General features: G+C 40.6%; 1 annotated feature.

Annotated features, from left to right (window-relative positions):
• Window positions 10152-10446: a silencer, noted in NCBI's record as "tiled region #14701; HepG2 Repressive non-DNase unmatched - State 19:H4K20". NCBI's record gives its function as "represses a minimal TATA promoter and a strong SV40 promoter by Sharpr-MPRA in HepG2 cells {active_cell/tissue: HepG2}" and the evidence as "EXISTENCE:reporter gene assay evidence [ECO:0000049][PMID:27701403]".

Below are 23516 nucleotides of genomic sequence, written 5' to 3' on the forward strand. Positions count from 1 at the left end.
TTCAGCTGCTGCCTAAGACTTTGAAAACCAGTGTGCTTCCTTTTACAACAGAAATTTCTGGGAAGATTCCCAAGTGTCCCTTTTCATCTAATTTCTGTTGGTCCCTCCTTCCTTTTACACACTTGCTAGTTGTTCCTGGGAGCTCCTTGAAGGCAGGGACCTTACCGTCCTGGCCCTTGCTGCATCCTGAGAGCCCAGCCCAGTGCTCGGCTTATGGTAGGCCCTCAGTAAATATTTGTTGAAAAATGAATTAATTTTCAAAAGTAATATTTAATTATCTACTGTATAAATATTTTAAAGGCATAAAACATGGTCTTTTGCCCTAAAACTAAATCGCTTCAATTCAAAATAATTGAAAGAATAAGATAATATTATCTGCTAGTTTTACCTTGCCTCATGTCAAAAATTTTAATTAAAAGTAATGCTTTGGCTGGGTGCAGTGGCTCACGCCTATAATCCCAGCACTTTGGGAGGCCAAATCACTTGAGGTCAGGAGTTCAAGACCAGCCTGGCCAACACGCGGAAACCCCACCCCTACTAAAAATACAAAAAAATTAGCTGGGCGTGGTGGTACGTGCCTGTAATCCCAGCTACTTAGGAGGTTGAGGCAGGAGAATCCTTGAACCTGGGAGGCAGAGGCTGCAGTGAGCTGAGATTGTGCCACTGTACTCCAGCCTGGATAACAGTGAGACTCTGTTGCAAAAAATTTAAAAAAAAAAGTAATGCTTTATTCTTTTATTCTAACTCTAGATTCAATCACCTGACTACCTTATAGTTAAAAGTCTTTTCTGACCTTATTAATTTTGAAATTGAGACCCAACCTTTTTAGGCCTTATTACTTCATTCTACTGGTTATATACCCCCTTTAAACCATAAGAAATGGGATTCACATCCTTTGATTCTATAACTGCTAGAAGTTAGAAGATCTGTTTTACTTTGAAATGCCTACCATTTGTTGAGAAGTGGGAACTGTTGTGTATCAGGAAATGAAGAAAAGTAGTTCTACCTATTAACAAAGTTTTCCCCCCAAAAAGACAAGAGACAGTGGGACATAGGTAAAAGTCCACATAGCTGTCACTCCTGGATGTTTCTGTTTACACCGGATGGATACCAGAATCATGCTTTCATTCTCTAAGGCAGCATGTTTAGAGTATTGGAATATTGTCCTTAGGACCTAGATGGAGAGGCTTCTAACAGGATGTCCTGAAAACTATATTACACTTATAAGAAATGCCTCCAAACACCCAAACACAGATCAAGTGAAACAAAGTGGTCTTTTGATTTTAATGGTTTGTGACTTCTAGTGCATGTTTGTCCTTAGGTCCTGGTGTGTCACAGGTGCATGCTATTCCATGCAGAGGCACGTATTTCTTCCTGGGCTTATGCTTGTAATCCCAAATTTAGGGAGGCTGAGGCCGGCAGATCACTTGAGGTCAGGAGTTCAAGACCAGCCTGGCCAACATAGCGAAACCCTGTCTCTACTAAAAATACAAAAATTAGCCAGGCATGGTGGTGCACGCCTGTAGTCCCAGCTACTTGGGAGGCTGAGGTGGGAGAATTGCTCAAACCTGGGAGGCAGAAGTTGCAGTGAGCCAAGATCGCGCCACTGCACTCCAGCCCGGGTGACAAAGTGAGACTCCGACTCAAAAAAAAAAAAAGGCCAGTTGTGGTGGTTCACGTCTGTAATCCCAGCACTTTGGGAGGCCTAGGTGGGCAGATCACCTGAGGTCAGGAGTTCAAGACCAGCCTTGTGAAACCCCGTCTCTACTAAAAATACAAAAAGTAGCCAGGCATAGTGGCGTGTGCCCGTCATCCCAGCTACTTGGGAGACTGGGGTAGGACAATCCCTTGAACCCGGGAGGCAGAGGTTGCAGAGAGCCGAGACCACACCACTGCACTCCAGCCTGGGTGACAGACTGAGACTCCATCTCAAAACAACAACAAGAAAGAAAACCAATGTCATGTGAGTTACACAATCAAATCAGAAAAATTTTGAGGAAAGAAGTAAATAATCTTAATCTCTTTATCTCTGATTCTCTGGCTCTTTGGGTGACTAGTTCTTTTAGGTTTAAAAACTTTATATAGTCTTTGATTCTGTGGTAATTTTATTCTGCTATCAAGTGAAAGGATAAAATCTAATGGCCCAAAATATACTTAATTTGAATTTTTTGGTTAAATATATTAAGTGGCTAAAAAAATATCATCCATCTGGAATTTCTGAACCTCACATCTCAGGAAAAGGATATCTCATGCTTGCCACCTCTATGTCCAGTAAATGACTCCTCCAAGAAAGAACTTGGCCCAACCCTTGAAAGCTCTGCTCTAGTCCCCACCATTTGTAACAAGAAACACATTCAGGTGTGGCAGTTACGTGGTCTTTGGCCTGTGCCTTTTTTCTCTTGTCTCTTTCTGGAATTAGGAGGACTCACTTCTTTCCTCTAACTGATACACACCTCAAGTCACTTGAGCCCACTTCTCAACATACCCTAGGTTCCCATCAGTTTAGAACAGTGCTTCTCAAACTCTTTGGTTTCAAGACCCCATTACATGCCATAAAATTATCGATGACCCCAAAACACTTTTATTTGTGGATTTACCTACCAATATTTATCATATTAAAAATTAAAACACAAATTAGAAATATATATTTGGTTATAAATAACAATAAGCCCAACATACATTAACACAAATAACATGTTTTTGGAAAATAACCATTTTGTAAAACAAATGAGAAAAACAGCATTGTTTTAATCTTTGCACATCCCTTTAATATCTGGCTTAGGCTGGGCACAGTGGCCTATGCCTGTAATCCCAGCACTTTGGGAAGCTGAAATGGGAGGATCACTTGAGCCCAGAAGTTGGAGACCAGCCTGGGCAACATGGCAAGACCCAGTCTCTACAAAAAATTAAAAAATTAGCTGGGCATGGTAGCATGAGGCTGTAGTCCCAGCTGCTACTTAGGAGGCTGAAGTGGGAGGATTGCTTGAGCCTGGGAGGTTGAGGCTGCAGTGAGCCATGATTGCACCATTGCACTCCAGCCTGGTCAACAGAGACACTGTCACACACACACACACACACACAAACACACACACACACATCTGACTCAATAGAAGACAGCTGGATATTCTTATCTGCCTCTGCATTCAATTTGTTCCAATACATTGCTTTGGTTAAAGAATATGAAGAAAATGTGGCTTCACATATATATGTAGTTGGAAAATGAGAGGCGTATTTTGATAGCCTTTTCAAATAATTGTGGGTATTCTTCAGTGATATTAGAGCAAAACTTGACAAATCATAGTTTCTTAAAGGCCAGTTGCAAAGTAGAATCTGAAACCCTATCACTGAACTGTGAAAATGTATTACATTAAAATGCACTGGTCTATCTTGTTCTCTGAGTGGATTTTGTAGCATCATGCATTGCATTGGTCATTTAGAAAATACTGGTTCACTGAGTCACACAGTTCTCCCAAATTTTCAGTCATTTCAGTATACAATATTTTTTTAAGTCCTATTTATTAATAGCACCACTGATCTCATCCTTAAGTACTGGGAAACTCATAATATTGGATACAAATTTCCCCCAAATTCCAATTTTTGGTTGAAAACTCAGATTTTATCATTAGCAACAAATACTGTCTATTGTTTTTCTTGACACAGAGTGGTTGGAGTGCAGTGGCATGATCAGCCTCAGTTTCCTGAGTAACCGGGGCTACAGGTGTGCGCCACCAAGCCTGGTTAATTTTTGAAATTTTTTGCAGAGACAGAGTCTCGCCATGTTACCCACGTTGGTCTGAAACTCCCGGCCTCAAGCAGTCCTCCAGCCTTGGCCTCCCAAAGTGCTGGGTTTACAGGCATGAACCATCATGCCTGGCCCCAGGATATTCTTGAGTGAAGCTGGCTTGCTTTTGCTTTTGCCAGGCCATAGCAGTAACAGTTAACTCCTAGTATACTGATTTCATTGATGCTAAGGCATGACTTTTGCTGACAATTGCTTTTGCACCATCCATGCACATTTCAACACAGTTGTATCAGGATAAATCATAAGATTCAAAAAGTTATTCAACACTTTGACTATTTCAGCACATGTGTTTGTTGCCAAGCATTTATGTAATATCTTCAATCATTAAGTGGGGCTGATAAGAACAAAAATAAGAAAAATAACAAATACAGTCATATCTGTAGATGTGTCCATTTTGAAAGTACAAGTGCAATTCTGCAGATGGTATATTAGTCTTCATGTTTATAGTGAAATCCGAAATTTGACAAGGTACCATGTTTTGGGGAAGTGGCACTGGTTTCTTTTACTAACTTGTCCTTCAGCAGGCATTGAGCAACGTCAACTGTGTAAGGCTTTGTCATTCAGCTAGTATATGTACTTTTCCAGCCAATGCAATATGATAACTCACCCTGTAGGATGCTTTGGTGTCTTTTTCATTTCTAGTTTGAAAACATGAAGAAATATTTAGCTTTTAAAAAGCTCATATTGTGTACATTAAAAATATTTTTCCTTTATACTCTTATCAGTCTCAAAATGACAATCTGAAATTGTTTTGTTGCATAAGACACAATAAGGGGAATTATTAGCATCCACAAAGGGAGGGGAAGATATCTTTCATTGTGTTTTCATTTCTTCATCCAGTTTTTTTTTTTTTTGAAGTTGATCCGCCCTTCCATGAGTCAGGGAACTCTGATATTTCAGGTTCAGGTATGTCAGCATCTTATATGTAGATGCTACATGTGGGAATTGAGAAAGCAAGCCTTCTCATCTTTTGTTTTTAAGCCAGTGATCTATCCTTAATGATAAGAAAAATATTGTATAAATAACTTTTCTCTTTATTTTAGAATATTGAACTCTAAAGCAATAACAGTTTTAGATGAATTTTTTAAAACTTATGAAGTTTTGAAAAAAATTTAAAATATTGCAAAACAACACAGTATATTATTTGTTGTTGAGTTTTCAAATAGATGCAAGGGAAATTCGGGATTTCAAAGCAACAATACATTGGACAATAATGAGGTCACAGAAATTATAGCAGGTATAATGAAAGATAGATACTGCAGTGAAAGTATTAAGAACAAACTGAGTTAATCTCCGAAAATGCACATATATATATTCTAAATCTACCACCTTAGAAAATTCTAAAAAACACAAGAATACAAAAAGCACTTGTTGCCAGAACAAAGTATCCTATGTCATGTAGCCTCTGGAAGCTCTACCATATTCTTGAGAAAGGATGAAAGTAAGAAAAACAAATGATGTCTTCATATTATTGTAAAATAGTTTCGACCTCACAGTCCTCCTGAAAAGATCTTAGCGCCCCCTGGAGTCCCCAGGCTACATCTGATGAATCACTGGTCTAGGGAGCCATCAGTTTTAAATGAGTTTAAATTGTCTTAAATATGCTTATTACACTTTCTTTATTTGATGCACCTTGTAGAACCTAAAATTAGATTTCAGGAGCTGCTGACGCTTTGAATGAAGTAAGAGATATCAGAGGTTAACAATTCAAGAGCCATGAATTCTCATTTTGATCCATTAAATCCTTCTACCTTTGCAGCATGAGTCTAGAAGCCCTGATTCAGTCCTTGTTAAAAAGCTGGAAATAGGCCGGGCGTGGTGGCTCACACTTGTAATTCCAACACTTTGGGAGGCCGAGGCGGGCAGATTACCTGAGGTCAGGAGTTCGAGACCAGCCTAGCCAACATGGTGAAACCCCGTCTCTACTAAAAATTAAGAAAAAAAAAATTAGCTGGGCATGGTGGCATACGCCTGGAATCCCAGCTACTCAGGAGGCTGTGGCAGGAGAATTGCTTGAGCCTGGGAGACGGAGTTTGCAGTGAGCTGAGATTGTACCACTGCCCTCTAGCCTGGCCAACAGAGCAAGACTCTATCTCAAAAAAAAAAAAAAAAAAAAAAAAGTTGGAAATAGCTGTTTTGCTGTTGATAAATGAATGGATTTAAATTTCCACATGTTGCTTCTCCAGATCATTTCATGATCATTCAAGTGGAAACCGCAGCAATTAGAAGTGTTGCATATGGTTGGAATGTAATCACTTTACATTTTGAGCGTTCCTTCTAAAAGCAATTTCTTTTGATTCAATGTAAAAATTCATAAGTACATATCAGGCACCCATACTATCCAGGTACTAAAGGGAATACAAAAGGTGCACATCCTACTCCTCAATTATTAATTTTTGCGGCTGGACGCGGTGACTCATACCTGTAATCTCAACACTTTGGGAGGCCGAGGTGGGCAGATCACCTGAGGTCAGGAGTTTGAGACCAGCCTGGCCAGCATGGTGAAACTCTGTCTCTACTAAAAATACAATAATTAGCTGGGTGTGGTGGCACGCACCTGTAATCCCAGCTACTGGGGAGGCTGAGGCAGGAGAATCTCATGAACCCAGGAGGCAGAGGTGGCGGTGAGCTGAGATTGCACCACTACACTCCAGACTGGGATTTAAGAAAATGTGTAGTTAAATATTGCCTAAAATGCTCGAATGTAGGTTATAAACAATGAGAATAGGGCCCATGAAGAGATTTTCGTTTTTCACAGAGGTGAGACTTAAAAAGGCCTTGAAGGATAAATAGAAATAGAAGCAGAGTAGAAGGGTTATTCCAGGAGAATATTAGTTTGGATGAGGGCACAGAGGCAGGAAGATGGAGCTTAGCTTGAGGGAATGGAGGTCACTGGTGCTGTGAATATTTGCAGACAGCCATATCCAGAGCTGAGAGGTGAAAGAACAGACTGGAATAGTTCTTTTCTTTTTCACTCTCCTACCTTATTTGCTTTTGGTTTAGCAAGGAGGATCGAAAGTAAACCAAGAGAAATGGTGGGGGGCAGCAGAGGGAGGTGGGAGGGAAACTCCAGGATGAGTTATGGTCAGCCAAAAGAAGCTGTTGAAATAAAATGACCAAGAGTTAATGCCTTTATAGACGCAGGGATGCACAGCCTAGATCCCCTTCCTCTAAAGGACTTGCTGCCCATCCACTGAAAGCTTGGTCAGCAGCCAGCCCCCAGCTATCGGCTCTTTCAGGGCCTGCCTTGTTGCAAAGGGCCGCCTCCCTGCAAAGAGCTGCCTTGCTCAAAGAGCTGCCTTGCACTAGGTCATGCTCTTCTGGTGGCAGCTTGCATCCTGTCACAGAGAGGCAGGGGTGTGAAAGCACAGCCATCTCATTTGCTCTGCAGGACAATATCCACTCCAGAGTTCCTGCTAGACTGGCCAAGACCTTGTTGCCATTCAACTTCTTTCCCATTCTACTCGCTCCCTCCTTCCTTCACAGGTGTTGAGCCCTAATAAAATTTTGCACCCGAAATTCTGCTTCATTATCTGTTTCTGGAGAACCCAACCTGTAACATTTTCCCAGCCAGGGCTGAATACACACACACACACACACACACACACACACACACGTGCTCTCTCTGTATATATGTTTCTGTGTATGTATATATGTATGTATATTTTTAATTACTTTTCTCCATTCAATAGTATACTGCCTATCAATTATTAGCAAATTGTATTTTCAACCTGTTGGCTTATTTATTCTAAATATAGCCATTTTCCTCTAAAGAGAAATCTTTGTTGCCAAAAGAATTTTATAATGGCAAAATCAGTCATTTTCCCCACTAATCGCAATGTAATTTTGCCCATTTTGAGATGGGCAAAAATCATATGTTCAGAACAGTAAGGTGAGACAGAATCAGCTAATTTACTGATAACTGTGGGCACTACCTGAACTGACGTATCATGCTGCTACGCACTTTAGTACCAGGCTCTCTGGTGGCCAGTTCTTTGCAGGATAACGTGGAATAATGCTTATGTAAAATATGACTTCCAAGACTAATTCTCAACTTCAGACTCCCCACTCCCAGCATTATTGCTTTGGCATTAGTAATGTTAGTCAGAAATATGAGTAATTCTTGGCAAGAATGGGAAGCATTCAACTTGTAACTTCAAAAAGACATTATCTGAAAGGTTGAAAGCCAGTTTCTAATAGTACCTGGTATCTTGGCTTCAGGGCTCACAGCAATCCTGTGGAGAAAGTATGAGTTTCCCATTTCAACAAAGAAGGTGAGGCTTAGAGGGAAAGGAAGTTGCTCAAGATTTGCTCTGGAACAGAGCCAGGATTCCCACTCAGATCTTCGACTCTGAATCCTGCAGGCCTTCACCTGTGCGAGCACTGAGCGCCTGGCTGCCAGCTCCAGAGCTCCTCTGGGGCCTTGGTCAGTGTGGTGTTGTTTATGTCCAGCACACTTTCCGTTGGTCTACTGGAGGACAGTTCCTGTACAGGCAGATGACTTCCTTCACCAAGGACCTGTGACTCTCTCCCTGAGGGCTTTCTCTGACATCATCTGCACATGGACAGCTTAGACTGAAAGTTTCAGGGGTTCGATGCCTTCCAGAGGCACCTCTCTAACAATAAGAGCCCAGATTGAGTGGAAATACCCCAGCTTCCTTACCACTCCAGCCTCCATGCCCTTAGTGGCATGATTCCGAGGTGCATCCTACACTGACTCTTGGTGGCTCCCTGGCCAGAGCTCATTCGCGTGGCCCTCAGCAGCTCTCCTCCTTCCCTGGCTGTCTTCCTCACCACCTCTCCGTGATTCCAGGAATCAGCTCCCGAATAAACGACTTGCACCCGAATCCTTGTCTCAGGGTCTGCTTCTGGGGGCACACCGAGGAAGACAGCAATCCCGTCCTAAGGTTTTGCACATCTGAGCCAGAGGGACCCCCTGGGACCGGGTCTCAGGGCTGAGTTTTGGAGGAGTGGGAGACACTCAGGGTGCGGCTTGAGGAGGGATGAGGTGAGACTTTGAGGTCGGCAGATGGCATTTCTGGCAGGCGCCTAGCATGGAAGGTGTGAGAGGAAGAGGGAGGTTGGGGACAGTGGACATCCTTGGGGGTGGTGGGGAAGGAATCAGGGCTGGGAACCTGCCTCTGTCAGCAAAGGGAACTGTGCCAGTGGGCCCCAGGACCAATGCCAGGGAGGCCACGTTCACCCAGCGGCTCAGCCAAGTCTTTTTAAGGAGTGGAATGGGAAATGCCGTTTACTGGCTTGCTGTTGGCCCAGTATTTATTGTTTTACATTTTTGCCCTGGAATTTCCATTGTCCTTACTCCTTAGAGGAGACTACACTTTTGCAGCTAATAAAATATGTTCTCCAGGTTAAATGGCATTTCAGCAAGTGCCATCATTACATTTTTCAGCACCCAGCCACTTACATAGCTCTTCCATTTTGTCCTGATAAAATCACCCTGTGCAGTGAGCAAGGCGAGGGTTATATGCCCGCCTCTGCGATGCTGGCTAATGTGCTCACAGCGCCCCAGCTATGAGTAGCATGGGTCGGGGGAGTGCACAGAGCCTGTCAATGTGGCTTCACTCCTGCGGCAGGCCCCAAGGGTGACAGCCCTCTGCTGGCGGACTCAGAGCTATTCCAGGAGTAGGCTGGGCTGGCCCCACGAGGGGCAGAAAGCCAGCGCCTATAGATGCAGCTCTCTTCTACCCATCTGTCCTCTCGAGCCCCCACTGCAGCCGGCTGGGCTTTCCAAGTCCTGTTTTTTTCCATTGATTCTAGGGATGGCAACGTTTGGATAGAACATCAGAGCTCGGTTGGTGCCTGGGCAGTCATGACCGTGGGCATGGGCAGGGCAGCATGGTGACGTGGGGCTGGGCTCAGGATCAAATGAGACAGGCCTGAAATCCATCAGAGCCTCTTAAAGCCTGGACAAGTGGCCAGTTCTTTGAAGGGTTTATATCTGTATTGCCTAGTGCAGCTTCCAGATGTGTGGTTTAGGATGTTGAAAGCACTTGTTATTGCTTGTGTTAATATGATGAAAGCAATACTAATAAAGTGTAGTCTCTGAGGCTGATGAATGTGATCTCTGAGGCTGCTTTCCCCAACCTTGGGGAGGTGGGCTGTTGGGTGGCCATGTCAGATTCAGTTCTGGCAGGATGCTGGGGGCCTTCCGGCAGCACCGATGCCCTGGCTCAGAACCTTTTGCTTGTTGCTCCCCAGGGGTGGTCAAGGCCAGGGAGCAGCTCCAAGCCTTCCTGGCAAGGCTAGCTGTGGAGCCGGAAGCGGGGACCCTGCCCCATCCATCCTCCACAGACTCCAAGTCCTTCCAGGCCTGGCCCCGCTGCTCAGTCCTGCTCAGTCCCATGTGGAGGGAAAACTCCGAATCCTAGAGTGGCCTGAAGTCTCCCAAGTGGGGAGCAAGGAGCAGGCAAATTGGTGCCCTTTCTACTGAAATATCTGCTTCTTTGTCACATCCAACAACTCCAGGGAATTATGACCTTTCTTGACCAGCATTTTCCTCTAACCTTTCCATCTTCCTCCCAGGAAAGTGAGGACTCAACAATACAAGTTACAAAACCCTTCTGCTGGAATCAGACCAAAAGGAAGCTCTCTAATAAGAATCTATTGTGAATGTTGTGCTGTTGTGCCTAGATCTCCACAAGGGCACAGATGACTGGGAATTCACATCTCTCGCTCCTTTTAAACCCTCAAGTCTGAGTCTAGCTGCTGCCATACAGAGACCGTTTCCCTGTGAAGCCTCTAGACTTGCCACTGAATTGACCTGCCCTGTAGAAAGGACATTTCTCTTCCCTTTGGATAGAGTATTGTGAGAAGGCTGTCTTTGAAGCCTCAGAAGAGTGGCTTTTGTCTCCTTTGTTCCCATAAGGAAAAAGATGTCAGATGAGAGGCCAATCTTTTGTCACCTTCCCAGAGACCACCCCCATAGGAATCTGCCCCTCCTCCCCTCTTAGCTGTAACTAGCTAGATCAGGGTGCGCTCTGACTTAAGGGTAGCCTCTCCCAAGGCCACTGAGTTGTGGCCTGGAAAAAGATGATCTGGGCCTCTTAAGATTCATCCTTCAGGACGTAAGTTTGGGAAACTGAGCGGCTGTTGACATTTGAAGTGAGAGCCAAAGCAGAAGGATTGTGGTGCAGAAAGCAGGGAAGCAAAGAGAAACAGGTCTTCTCCATGATGGTCATGTGCAGGTGAGGGCATGAAGTAGCCAGGAGCAGAGTCAGGAGAATGGAGTAGATGCTCAGAGAGCAGGGTCAATGCTCCACACGTTCCTGGAAAGGTGGGAATGTGGCCCTAGCCAACTCAGTCTCAGATCCCACGAGAGCCACCCAGGCCAAGGCTTCTGTTCTGAGACACCATCTCTTTAACATAGATCCCTGCACAAAACCCCTCTTTTCTGAGCCAGCCCAAGGAGGAGTCTCTGTTTCTGAACCTCCGCTTATCAAGGGCAGGTCTACTGGCTAGTTGAGGATAATGCTAGAAACCTGCCTTGTCCAGTGCAGTAGCCACGAGTTACACGTGGCTCTCAAGCACTTGTAGCACTATGGCTGGTCCAGACTGAGATGTGCTGTGAGTCTAAAATTCACACTGCACCCTGAAGACTTACGGCCAAAAAAAGAAGGCAAAATATCTCACTAATAATTTTTATATATTGATTATATTAAAATGAGAATATTTTGGATATATCAGTTTAAATAAAGATATTATTAAAGTTAATTTCACCTGTATCGTTTTACATTTTTAATGTGACCACTAGAAAATTTACAGTTACATATGTGGTTCACATTATATTAAATATTTCTATTGGATACCCTGCCTTATACTGAAATACCCCAGAAACAAGAACTGTAGATATTTTAGTAATTACATTAATTAGTTCCAATACTGAAATTGAAGTCTCAAGGAATCAACACACGTAATCTCCTGCCTCCAGGCATGCTGAGCCTCAACAAGTCCAGCTAAAATGGACCTTCTTCTAAAGCCCCTCTCCACCCCAGGGAAACCCTCTCACCTGCCCCCAACAATTCTCTTCATGCCCGTTGCAGCTGCCGTGCCATAGTTGCTGTTAGCCCTAGGTGAGATTAAGTATGTAATGTTTATCATTATAAAGACCCATCACAGATTTTATTATTAAATAACCTCACACTGAATTTACACAAGATGGAGATTAAAAAAAAGAAACAACCTGGGATGTGTCATAAGATCCAAGGACACAACCAGACTCTCAGCCATGGGATGGGGCTCTCTCCATCTTTTATCTGTGTACCTCTTAAAGCACCTGCTCCATTTGTCTCTCTGCCGACCAGCAGCCTCTGCTTCCCCAGGGCGGGAAATGTGGAGACTGCCCCCCATTTGACAGAGTTGACAGCTCACAGCTCCTTTTTTGCAGAGAGACACCAATGCTACTCTAGTTCCCACGTCCAGAGGTCCTGGGGAGGGATTCATGGCCCAGCTAGAGAGAACCACTATGGCCAGGAGCCAAGCCACATAAGAATATGACTGTCCCCCTCCCCCCGAAGCTGTGTAGTGAGAGGATGGGATGGTTCCCAGAAAGTAGGGTGGGGACCCCAAAGAAAATGAGAAGTTTCCATGATATCCATGATTATTAGTGTTTGCTTAATCTGGCCTTTGGTTAAAAAGAATTGTTCTTCCATCCACGGAGGGCTCCAGATGACACCTCCCACTCCTATATCCTCCTTAGAACTTTGCACACCTGCGTGAAAACTTTCACCTCCTCTCCAACTACTAAAATTTGATAATGAAACAATCTGTGAAATTCAACATGGACCTGAGCCATGCAGTCTGTGGGTGGATCACATGAGCAGCAAGGCAGCCATTTGGAAGAAAGCAGCCACTAAATCACAGACAATGAGAGGAGCCCCTCGGCAGTGATGCCACAGATGGTGATGTGGCATCTTCAGGTGCCACAGATGTTGATGCCTTCAGTTGATGATAGGGATGTTTTAGGGAGCCTTATTTAACCAGATTCATGGCAGCACCTGAGGAAAAATCCTGTGCGGGAATGAGTTCATCCATACCTACTGGCTATTTGTGTCCTCCCACAGCCATCTGGCCCTGGCTAAATCACACTGCTTTGGAGTTCATTTCAAAAGCCCAGTCATATGTATGTTAAAGAGGTTCACATATCACTGGCTCATAGAAAGAAAGCCAGTTTCCTGTGTGCTTTTCAAGACTGCCGGAGGGCACTCCCAGCTAACCTAAAGTCATTTCTCCCACTACTCCCTATGGACCCTTCCGCTGACACCCGGTCAGCCCAGATGCTGTCTTGCTCCTGAACACGCTATGTGCAGGTCACCTGAGAGTCTATTTCTGTAGCCTGAAGATGGTCTAAAAAGGTCTAAACCCAGCTCTGCCTGTGACCAGCTATGCCCTCCTTGGAAAGTTTCTTTTTCCTTGAATAAAATTCAAGTAATTATCACCACCTGGCAGGGTTGTTATAAAAATCAAAAAAGATTTAAAGCACTTAAGCTGTATCTGGAATACTTTTGTTCTTTGAAAAAAATTCTGAAGCACATATGGCAAATTTTAACATGTTCACTGGTTGACTTTTCTCCATATTTTTCTATGTGCTTGTAATTTTTCGTTTTCTTAAAAATGATAAATATTATTTTGGGGAAACAGGGACCAAACTTGCCTCCTACCATAACCAACTACAAAAATGGACAAATTATATACCACAACTGTGTTCAGGTATTAGACAACAGTCAGCCCAGGACTATATACATGAGAGAAGAAAAATTAATGAGGTGAACCCTCTAGTTGCCCCAGGTTTCTGCCTGGGGACAGTTTCTGGGACCATGTGGCAGGGAGTAGGACCCTGGGAGAGCATGGTGGTCTTACTGAGTTGAATTATCAGAGATCAGAGTTTGGGGAGGCTGAGTCAGCCAGACTTTGTGTGACAAAGTACTATGAAGAAGAGAGTTATGCTGAGAAAGCTTCCAGAATCTGCAGAGGGGTCCCCTTGAATCTGCTGCTGAACACTAAGCTGAACTTGAGTATGGTGAAACTCCATGAGACTGAGTAAAGAAGTACTAGGCAGATATAAGCTGAACAATTCCCAGCAGTCACACAGGGCTACAAGATACTTGTATTCAACCAGCCGGAATAGAAAGTCCACAATGAGCTCCAGAGTCATTCAATTAGAGACTACAAAAGAGTCACACCTTAGCAGAAGTGCTACCAAAGCTAAAAAACAATCCTCAAAAGGGTCAAGCTAATCTGCAAGTAACTTAACTGCCTGCCAGAGCAAAGATCAACATTCTTTAAAAGAACATAACAAAATCCAACATGGAACAAAATAAAATCCACAATGTCCAGCATCCAAAAGAATATTACAAGGCATGAAAGGAAGCAGGAAAATGTGACCCATAACCAGGAAGAAAATCAATAGATAAAAATTAAGAAATGACAGAGATGATGAAATTAGCACACAAAAACTTTAAAACAGCTATTATGAATAAGTTTATGTAGTCAAAGAAAAATAAATGTAATGAGAAAGAAATGGAAGATATGAAAAAGAACCAAATGGGATTTCAAGAGATGAAATGAAAATTTCACTGGATGAGACTAACAGCAGTGTATTTGACACTACAGAAGAAAATAACAGTGAATTTGAGGACATAGCAATATGAACTTATCTAAACCAAAGAAAAGAAAGAAAGAAAATTTGAGGCGGGAGTAGGGGGAGACAGCATAGCCTTAATGACCTGTGGGACAATATCAAGCAGTCCAGTACCCATGAAACTGGTGTGCCACAAAGAGAAGAGAGAGGAAGAAATAGAAAAAAGCTTCAAAATTTTATAGTGAATTTCCCCCTAAATTTGATGAGAAATATAAATCTATAGAGCCAAATGTCTTACACAAAGATGTTATTAATATATGACCAAATTTCTGAAAAACGGCTCCAAAGAAAACATCTTTAAAGCATCCAGAGACAAAAGAAACATTTTGTACAAAGGAGAAAAGATAAAACTTAATGCAGACTTCTCATCAGAAACAATGCAGTTCAGACGACAATGGAATGTATTTTAAAGTACGGAAAGGAAAAAAGCCAACCCAGAATTCTAAGTCCAGCAAAAATATAATTTAAAATGTTGCCAATAATAATTGTGAATGCCATTATCCTGAATGTCGAAATCCCAAAGATTAAAACCCGGCCTGGCATGGTGGCTCATGCCTGTAATCCCAGCACTTTGGGAGGCCAAGTCAGGCAGATCACTTGTGATCAGGAGTTCAAGACCACCCTGGCCAACATGGTAAAACCTCATCTCTATTAAAAAAAAAAATAAAAAATAAATAAAAATAAAATAAAAAAAATAAAAAAGCTTGGCATGGTGGCACTTGCTACTCCAGCCACTCCAGAGGCTGAGGCAGGATCACCCCTTGAACCCAGGAGGCAGAGGTTGCAGTGAGCTGAAATCGCACCACTGCACTCCAGCCTGGGTGACAGAGTAAGACTTTGTCTCAAAAAAAAAAAAAATTAAAAAAAAATAAAAAAGATTAAAATCCCTAATGTCTAAAATCCTGAAAAATCACAATCCTAAAAGATTAAAATCTCAAACTGAAATTCTGAAAGCCAAATTCTGGAGAAGGGATTAGTGCATCTTCAGTTGTACACAAGATAGTTGCATCATATTGGTTGCAGCATGTTAGGCAGAACTATTACCTTGTTATTGTCTTTATTTGGAAATTAAGTCTGGTGTAAAGAGATGCGTATATGTGCCAAATTGACAAGGGGACTTGTGCACTTAATTTTAGGTGTCAATTCAACTGGATTAAGGAATACCTAGAAACCTGGTAAAGCATGATTTCAGGTGGGTCTGTGAGGGTGTTTCCAGAGGAGATTGCTATGTGAGTCTGAGTGGACTAGGTGGGGAAGATCCGCCGTCGTTGTTGGTATGCACAATTCAGTCATCCAGGGATCCAGAGAGAACAGATACAGAAGGTGAATGAGTCTCTTCTGAGAGCTAGGACAGGCTTTTTTTCTACCACTTTGGACATAAGAGATCCAGACTTGACAGCCTCTAGACTCCAGGCCTTCCATCAGCAGCCCCCGCCTGGGTCCCAAGGCTTTCAGCCTTGGACTGAGAGTTACACCATTGGCTTCCCTGTCTCTGAGGCCTTCAGACTTGGACTGAACCACACTTCCCATATTCCAGTCTCCAGCTGGCAGATAGCCTGTTGTAGGACTTCTCAGCCACTATAATCACATGAGCCAATTCCCCTAATAAATTCCTCTCATATACCTATATACATATCCTATTGCTTCTGTCTCTCTGGAGAACACTGCCTAATACAGATTTGGTATTGGGGAAGCCAAATATCATTCCTTCTTACTGCATTCCTTACAGCACAATGGAAAAGAGCTGTGAAATTGTTTCCTTACAAAAAAAAAAAAAAAAGTGAAAAGTTGAAAGTGTACAAGGCTACTTAACAGTGAAAGGTACAAATTTAAAAGCTAATTTTAGGCCAGGAATGGTGGATCACACCTGCAATCCCAGGATTTTGGGAGGCTGAGACAGGAGGATCACCTGAACCCAGGAGTTTGAGACCAGCCTGGGAAACATGGCAGAGATCTCATCTCTACAAAAAATTTTAAAAATTAGCTGGGCCTGGTGGCGTAAGCCTGTAGTCCCAGTTGCTACTTGGGAGGCTAAGGTGGCAGGATCACTTGAGCCCAGGAGGTTGAGGCTGTAGTAAGCTGAGACTGTACCACTGCACTCCAGTCCTGGGTAATAGAGTGAGACCCTATCTCAAAAAAAAAAAAAAGAAAAAAAAAAAAGTTAACTATGGCCGGATGCAGTGGCTCACACCTGTAATCGCAACACTTTGGGAGGCTGAGGCGGGTGGATCACCAAAGATGAGGAGTTCGAGACCAACCTGGCCAACATGATGAAACCCCATCTCTACTAAAAATACAAAAAATGAGCCGAGCATGGTGGTGGGCACCTGTAATCCCAGCTACTCCGGAGGCTGAGGCAGGAGAATTGCTTGAACCCAGGAGGTGGAGGTTGCAGTGAGCCGAGATCGCGCCACTGCACTCCAGCCTGGGCAACTGAGTGAAACTCTGTCTCAGGGGAAAAAAAAAAAGAGAGAGAGAGAGAGACAATTATTTTTGACGCTGCAAAAACAGAAAATTGCTTAATTGCAACAGCCAAGCAATAACCAGAATTTCAAAAGGACATCATATACTTACAAAATTTGTACACCATAACCACTCTCCAAATGCAAGTTCAATGAGTGTTTCAAAGATCATAGAAGTGAAAATGCAGGCAAAAAAGACAAGAAATCTCCCCTGCTAAATTATTCAATTGTGTGTGATTTCTGCCCCTTCACACATAGCACCAATTTGCTATGCTATGTATTTCATCTTCACATCGTTTCCAGTACTAAGTATAAATTGTATAAAGACTTTTAGTGAGTTCTAATTTGTTTTATGACATTTTTGCAAATGTAATTTCACAAAAATGCATTATCACAGCATTGACTTCGTTGTATAAGTATTGCCCACGTATGTAAAATATTGAAACTTCCTCAGTAAATGAAAAGATGTTCTTTTTGTACATCTGCACTTGAGAAGGATAAAATGTCTCAAAATCTTAGCTCTTTGGGCCACTTCATATACAATGGTGACCCACCGAGGTTTTTGATTAATATCATCAAAAGACTTAGGTTGCCCATCATGTTATTTCAAATGACAGCAGTTATAAAGCTGGGTGCACACAATTACTGACCATACTGATATGCATTTATACATTTTGCTTTTTCACCTATTCCTTTATGAATGTGATTCATCTGCTTATAACTGTTATATCCGTGTGACTGCTGTTAGTATACCTGAGAGTTTATGCTTGTAAAAATATGTATGTTATGATTGCCTATTTTATTGGGTAAAGTATGAAGTGCTCTGTTATGTCTTTATATGTTTCTCAAGTAAATCTCTCTTTAAAAATGTAAATAAATGTCTTTAAAGAATTTTTTGAAATTAGTTTTCCCAAAATTAGATTTTCAGACTTTAATGTTTCAGCATTATGATTTTCAAGACTTTAGGGATTTTGATCTCTTGGAATTTTAACAGGATTATGGCATTTAGGATTATGTCTTTTAAGATTATGGCACAAACCCAATTTAAAAATGATGGTGAAATGATGACTTTTTCAGATAGACAAAAGATGAGAGCACTTGTTTCTAGTAGTACCTGACTTTAAAAAGTATGAAAGTTCTTCAGGCAATAGGAAAATGATGTCAAGTGGAAACTTGAATCAACACAAAGAACTGGAGAGACTAGGATATGGCAAATATGTGGATAAAAAGAAAAGGCCTTTTTTCCTTTTCCTTTATTTAAAATTAGTTTTTAAAACAGTGATTTAAAACAAAAGAATATATTGTGATGTTAATAACATACAGCAGTAAAGTAAGTGTATGACAACAATATAAAAATGAAAGTATATTTTTGGAAAGTTTTTATATTATATATGAATTAGTGTAATATTATTTGAAGGTAGAAGTGATATATTAATTATGTATATTTTAAACCCTATTGCAACTACTAAAAACAATAAAACAAGGTGATATATTTTGCAAGTCAATAGTGGAGATAAAGTAGAATACTAAAAAATGTACAATGAATGCAAAAGAAGACAAAAAGGAATAAAAAGGGAACAAAGAACAGATGGGACAAATAGAAAACAAGTAGCAAGATGGTAGATATATATCTGACTTAATCATCACATTAAGTGTAAATTATCTAAACACTATAATTCATAAACATAGATTGTCAGACTGGATATAAAAGCAAGACCCAACTATACACTCTTTAAAAAAAAAAAACCCTAAAATATAAAGATACAGTTATATTAAAGGAAAGGGATGGGAAAAGATATACCATGCAGTAATACCATGCACAACATTAATTGTTTAAAAAGCCAGTGTAACTATGTTAATATCAAAGTACACTTCAGAACAAAGAATACTGTAGTACTGTGGATAAAGAGAAACATTTCATAATGATAAAGGGGTCAATAGATCAAGAAGACAAAGCAATCCAAAATGTATATGTACCCAATATGAAAACTTTAAAATACATGAAGCAAAAAAATGACAGACCTGAAAGAAGAAACAGACAAATCCACAAAAGTAGCTGGAGATCCCAAAATTCCTCTCAGTAAGTGATAGAACAAATAATCAGAAAACAAATGAAGATGTAGAAGACTTAACACTATCAACTAACTTGACAGAAATGACATATATAATACACTTCACTTGACAATAACAGAAGACACACTTTTTCGAGTGCACATAGAACATTTACCAAAATAGACTATAGGCTGAGATGGAGAGTAAGTCTCAAAAAACTTACAATAATTTAAATAATCCAGAGTACTAATACTAATATGAATGGTCATACTAATTTGAAATTAAATTATAAGTCAGTAACAGAAAGATGCGGAAAATATGCAAATTCTTAGAAATGTAAAACTCACTTCTAATAAGCCACAGGTCAAAGAAGAAATCACAAAGGGGATGGAAACATATTTGAACCTAATGAAAATGACCATACAACATGTCAAAGCTTGTGAGATGCAGCTAAGCAGTGTTTGAAGGATATTTATAGCTTTAAATGCTTATATTAGAAAAGAAAATAGCTTTAAAATCAGTGATCTAAACTTCTAGCTTAAGAGTGTAGAAAAATTAGAGTACATTAAACCTAAAGTAAGTAGAACAAAAGAAACAATAAAGGCAGAAATCAATGAAATGGATTGAAATCAATGAAATGAACAAATAATAGAATAAAATCAATGAAAAAAGCTGTTTCTTCATAAATATCAATAAAAGTAATAAACTTCTAGCTACACTGATCAAGGAAAAAAAGAGGGAAAATATAGATTACCAGTATCAGGAATTCTTTATAAATTAAAAGATCTTATAAACAGAATAATAAGGAAATACTATGAACAATTTTAAATAAATTTGACAATGCAGAGAAAATGAATAAATTTCTTGAAAGATACAAATTACCGACATTGAATCAAGAAGAAATAGAAAATCTAAGTAGCCCTATATCTATTAAAAATTCAATTTTTGATTTACAAGTTTCCATAAAGAAAATATAGCCCCTGGCAGCTTCACTGGTGAAATTCTATCCATCATTTAAGGAAGAAACACAAATGTTACACAAACTCTTTCAGAAAATATAGGAGAAAGGAAAGCTTCTCAGTTCATTTTAGGAGTCCAGCATTACCAATACTAAAGCCAGGAAAATATGTTGTAAGATAATTACCAACCAATATTCCTGATAAACACAGACAAAAATTTCCTGCAAAACATTAGCATAAAGAATCCAGCAATATATAAAATAAATAATACATCATGACCAAATGGGGCTTATCTAAGGAATGAAGAGTTGATTTAACATTCAGAAATTAATCAATGTAGTTCATCATCTTTACAAAGTAAAAAATAAAAAGCTTACAGTTATCTCAGATGCAGAAAATATGTTTGACAAATTTCAGCATCATTTATTATAAAACTCTCACCAAACTGAAAATAAAAAGGAATCTCCTCAACCTGATAAAGAAAACCTAGGGAAAACCTATAGCTAATATCATCCATAATAGTAAAGACTGAATGCTTTCTTCCCAAGAATAAGAACAAGGCAAGGATATCAATTCTCACCACTCCTATTCAACATTGTACTGGAGGGCTAGTCAGTGTACTGGCTGGCTGTTTCTGTGAAGATTTCTTTTTGGATGAGATTAACATTTAAATCAGTGGACTTTGAGTAAAGTAGATTATACACTATAATGTGGGTGGGCCTAATACTATCAATTGAAGACTTTAATGGAACAAAGACTAACCTCCTCCAAGCAAGAAGGAATTTGGGCAGCAGATGGCCTTTGAACTCGAACTGCAACGTTGGCTCTTCTCTGGATCTCTAGCCTCCTAGGCTACTCTGCAGATTTTGGACTTGCCAGCCCCCATAATTGCATAAGTCAATTCCTTAGAATAAATCTCTCTGAATAAATATATGTATGCTATTGTCTAAATGTTGATTTCCCCAAAAAAATCATGTTAGAATTTAATTCTCAATGTGGTAGTATTAAGAGGTGTGGCTTTTAGGAGGTGATTAGGTCAGGAGGGCTCCACTCTCTTGAATGGGATTAGTGACCTTATAGAAGAAGCTATGAGGTCTTGTAGAAAAAGTTACCTTGTAGAAGAAGCTATGAGAAGCCTGTTTGTCCCTTACATCATGTGAGGATGCAGCAAGAAGGCACCATCTTTGAAGCAGAAAGCAAGCCCTCACCAGACACTGAATCTTTTGGCACCTTGTTCTTGGACTTCCCAGCCTCCAGCAATACATTTATGTTGTTTATAAATTACCCAGTCTAAGTTACTTTGTTCCAGCAGCTAGAAAGGACTAAGACATACACATGTGCTCACACACACATCCTTTTGGTTCTGTTTCTCTGGAGAACTTCGATGAATACAAATAATAGTGTTTAAACTGTCAGGCTCCGCACAGTGGCTCACATCTGTAATCTCAGCACTTTGGGAGGCCGAGGTGGGTGGATCACTTGAGTCCAGGAGTTTAAGACCAGCCTGGGTAACATATCAAGACCCCATCTCTAAAAAAATACAAAAAATTAGCTGGGTATGGTGGCATGTGCCTGTAGTCCTAGCTATTCAGGAGGCTGAGGTGGGAGAATCACCTGAGCCCAAGAGGTTGAGGCTGCAGTGAACCATGATCACACCACTGTACTCCAGCCTGGGTGACAGAGTAAGACCCTGTCTCAAAAACAAAAACAGAAAAAAACAGTCAGTTATTCCCAAATTGCTTTATAGATTCAATGCAATCCCAATCAAAATCCTAGCAGGCTTTTGTATAGAAATTTATAAAATTTCTACAAAATTATTATTTTATGGAAATTATTCTAAAATTTATAAGAAAATACTAAAGATCTTAAATAGCTAGGAAAAAAACGAGAAGAAAATACCATTACATAATTTAGATGCCCTGATTTCAAGACTTAATAGTAGTGTTTACTTAAAATCACAAAATGTGTAAGTTTGGAAAGGATAACTTTATTTCTTATAAAGGGTTGCAACCTGAAGACTTGGAGGCGTAGCCTCTGGCAGAGACTGAAAGCAGGCATTTCGAGGGAGGGAGTGTGTTACAGGAGTCTCATGCTTGGTCAATTGGATAGACATACATATTTAACAGGTTACAGGAAGGGCTATGAATATGCATGAGGGGACTTTGCACGCATGCATAGTAAGCAAACGTGTTATGTATGTCCCATGTTCACTTTGGGGGGAAACTTAACATTAAAATGCAGTAAAATTAGGCTGTGCACATCAAAAGTTAAAACGAAGGACACCCACGTGCTCTGTGTGCAGCCTCCGTGGACACGCCAGAGCCAGTCCGTGGTCAGCAGTCTCTTATCAGGAAGGAATGCTGGTTGATTGTTCTGTTGAAACTGAAAGGGGAGGGAAGTCTGGCCAAGGTACCAGGTTGTTGAGTGAGTCTTCTGTTCTTGTTTTCCAGGGCTGGTTTCTGTTCAACTCTTAGGGAAAAAGTCTAATGGTGGTCAGCAAGGGAGAGGGTAAATGAGGCATGACCAACCTCCCATCTCATCATGGCCAGAAAACTTAGTTTTTAAGGTTCTTGGGGGTCTCTTTGGCCAAAAGGGGTCTGCTTAGTCAGTCAGGGAGCTTTGGATTTCATTTTTGTTTCACGGTAGTAATCACGACTATTGGTATTGGCATAAGGACAGAAATATAAATCAATAGAACAGAATAGAGTCCAAATATAGACCCACACTTATTTGGTCAATTGATTTTCAACAAGGTTGCCAAGGCAATTTAATGAGGAAAGGATGTTCTTTTCAAGAAGTGGTTCCAGAACAATAAGATATCATGTAGAAGAAGACAAACTTTGACCCTTACCCCACACCACATAAAAGTTTACTTGAAATGGATTATAGACCTAAATGTAAAAGCGAACACTGTAAAACAGCAAGATGAAAACACAGGAGAAAACTTCAGCCATCTCTGGATGGATAAAGATTTCTTAGATAGGACACAAAAAACACAAACTATAAAAGGAAAATTGATAAATTTGATTTCATAAAAATTAAAATTTTCTACTCTTTAACACCGTTAAGGAGATAAAAAAGCTACAGACTTGGAAAAAATATTGGTAATACATGTATCTTACAGTGGAATTGTATCTTGAACACCTAAAGAACTCTTACTAGTCAATTATTGGTAGGCAAATACCCAATTTTAAAGTGGGCTAATTATTTTAAACTAATTTAAATCCAGACTCTCATAGAAGATATACAAATGTCAAATAAGCACAAGAAGATACTCTACATTATTAATCATCAGGGAAATGCAAATTAAAACCACAACGAACTACCACTACACACTTACTGGAATTGCTAAATTTAAAAAGACTGACAATACCAAGTGTTGACAAGTAAGTGGGGCAACCTGAAGTCTCATACATTGCTGTTGGGAATATAAAATGATTAATGAACTTTGGAAAACAATTCATCAGTTTGTTATAAAATTTTTCACTCATCAAATGACTCAACAGTTCCACCTCTTCATGTTTATCCAGGAGAAATCAAAACATGCCTACACAAAGGCTTGCACACAAAGGTTCATAGAAACT

Source organism: Homo sapiens, chromosome 2, assembly GCF_000001405.40.
Source record: "Homo sapiens chromosome 2, GRCh38.p14 Primary Assembly".
In the NCBI taxonomy this organism is placed as follows: domain Eukaryota; kingdom Metazoa; phylum Chordata; class Mammalia; order Primates; family Hominidae; genus Homo; species Homo sapiens.